Source organism: Homo sapiens, chromosome 10 (genome assembly GCF_000001405.40).
Source record: "Homo sapiens chromosome 10, GRCh38.p14 Primary Assembly".
Lineage (NCBI taxonomy): Eukaryota > Metazoa > Chordata > Mammalia > Primates > Hominidae > Homo > Homo sapiens.
In genome coordinates this window covers 117,458,428-117,459,199 of record NC_000010.11, presented here as the reverse complement: position 1 = coordinate 117,459,199, position 772 = coordinate 117,458,428, and the positions used below count along the sequence as shown (strand labels likewise).

The following is a 772-nucleotide window of genomic DNA, read 5'->3' as shown; positions in this document are numbered from 1 at the left end:
ATCTGGGCTCCAATTTCCCCATCTGTGAACTGGGAACAAAATGTTATTACTCTCCCCACCTCACAGGCTTATAGTGAGGATCAAATCAGACAGAGGCCATGAAAACAGTTTGAAACTTCTCTAACGATGTGGGGATGAGGTATGACTACTACCTCACTAGTTATCACTGACAGACGTGGAAAGATGGCCCCAGAAGGTGACTAGAAGGAAGGCAGAGAGCCCTACCTGGGGACCTCTGCTTCCCTGTACACAGAGCTCCACTGTGTGGAGGCCAAACTTTCCTCTGTCAAACATCAGGACCCTACTGGAAGTTGTTCCTATTATATCATTAGTTGTTTTCATTACTCTAATAGCTGACAATCATTTCATGCTTATTCTGTGTCAGGCACTCAGCCAAACGTTCTGTGTTGCTACAGCCGTCCGGGGTTAAATCAAACAAATCCTAGTCATTGAAACATTCTCTTTTTTAGTCAAAAGAGGTCAAAAGAGTTTATGGGAGGTGTCAAGGTTAAGAACGTAAGGCAGACAAACAGGGCTCCAATCCAGTCTAAGCTGTTAGTAGCCAACATGACCTTACACATCATAACTTTCTAAGCCTCAGCTTACCCATCTGAAAAATGAATGAGAAAACGCCACCGATCTCGAAGAGATGCTGTGAGCATTTCACTAGGTCGTGCTTGTGCCAGGTGTTAGGAAAATGGAGCTCCATGGGGGTAGACACGGGTCGGGGGCCCACATGCTGCTGGCAGGGGACGAGGCAGGGCTCGGGGGT

The 772-nt window shown here is 47.0% G+C and overlaps 1 annotated feature.

Annotated features, from left to right (window-relative positions):
- Positions 268-562: a silencer, noted in NCBI's record as "tiled region #14976; HepG2 Repressive non-DNase unmatched - State 22:ReprW, and K562 Repressive non-DNase unmatched - State 22:ReprW". NCBI's record gives its function as "represses a minimal TATA promoter and a strong SV40 promoter by Sharpr-MPRA in HepG2 and K562 cells {active_cell/tissue: HepG2 | K562}" and the evidence as "EXISTENCE:reporter gene assay evidence [ECO:0000049][PMID:27701403]".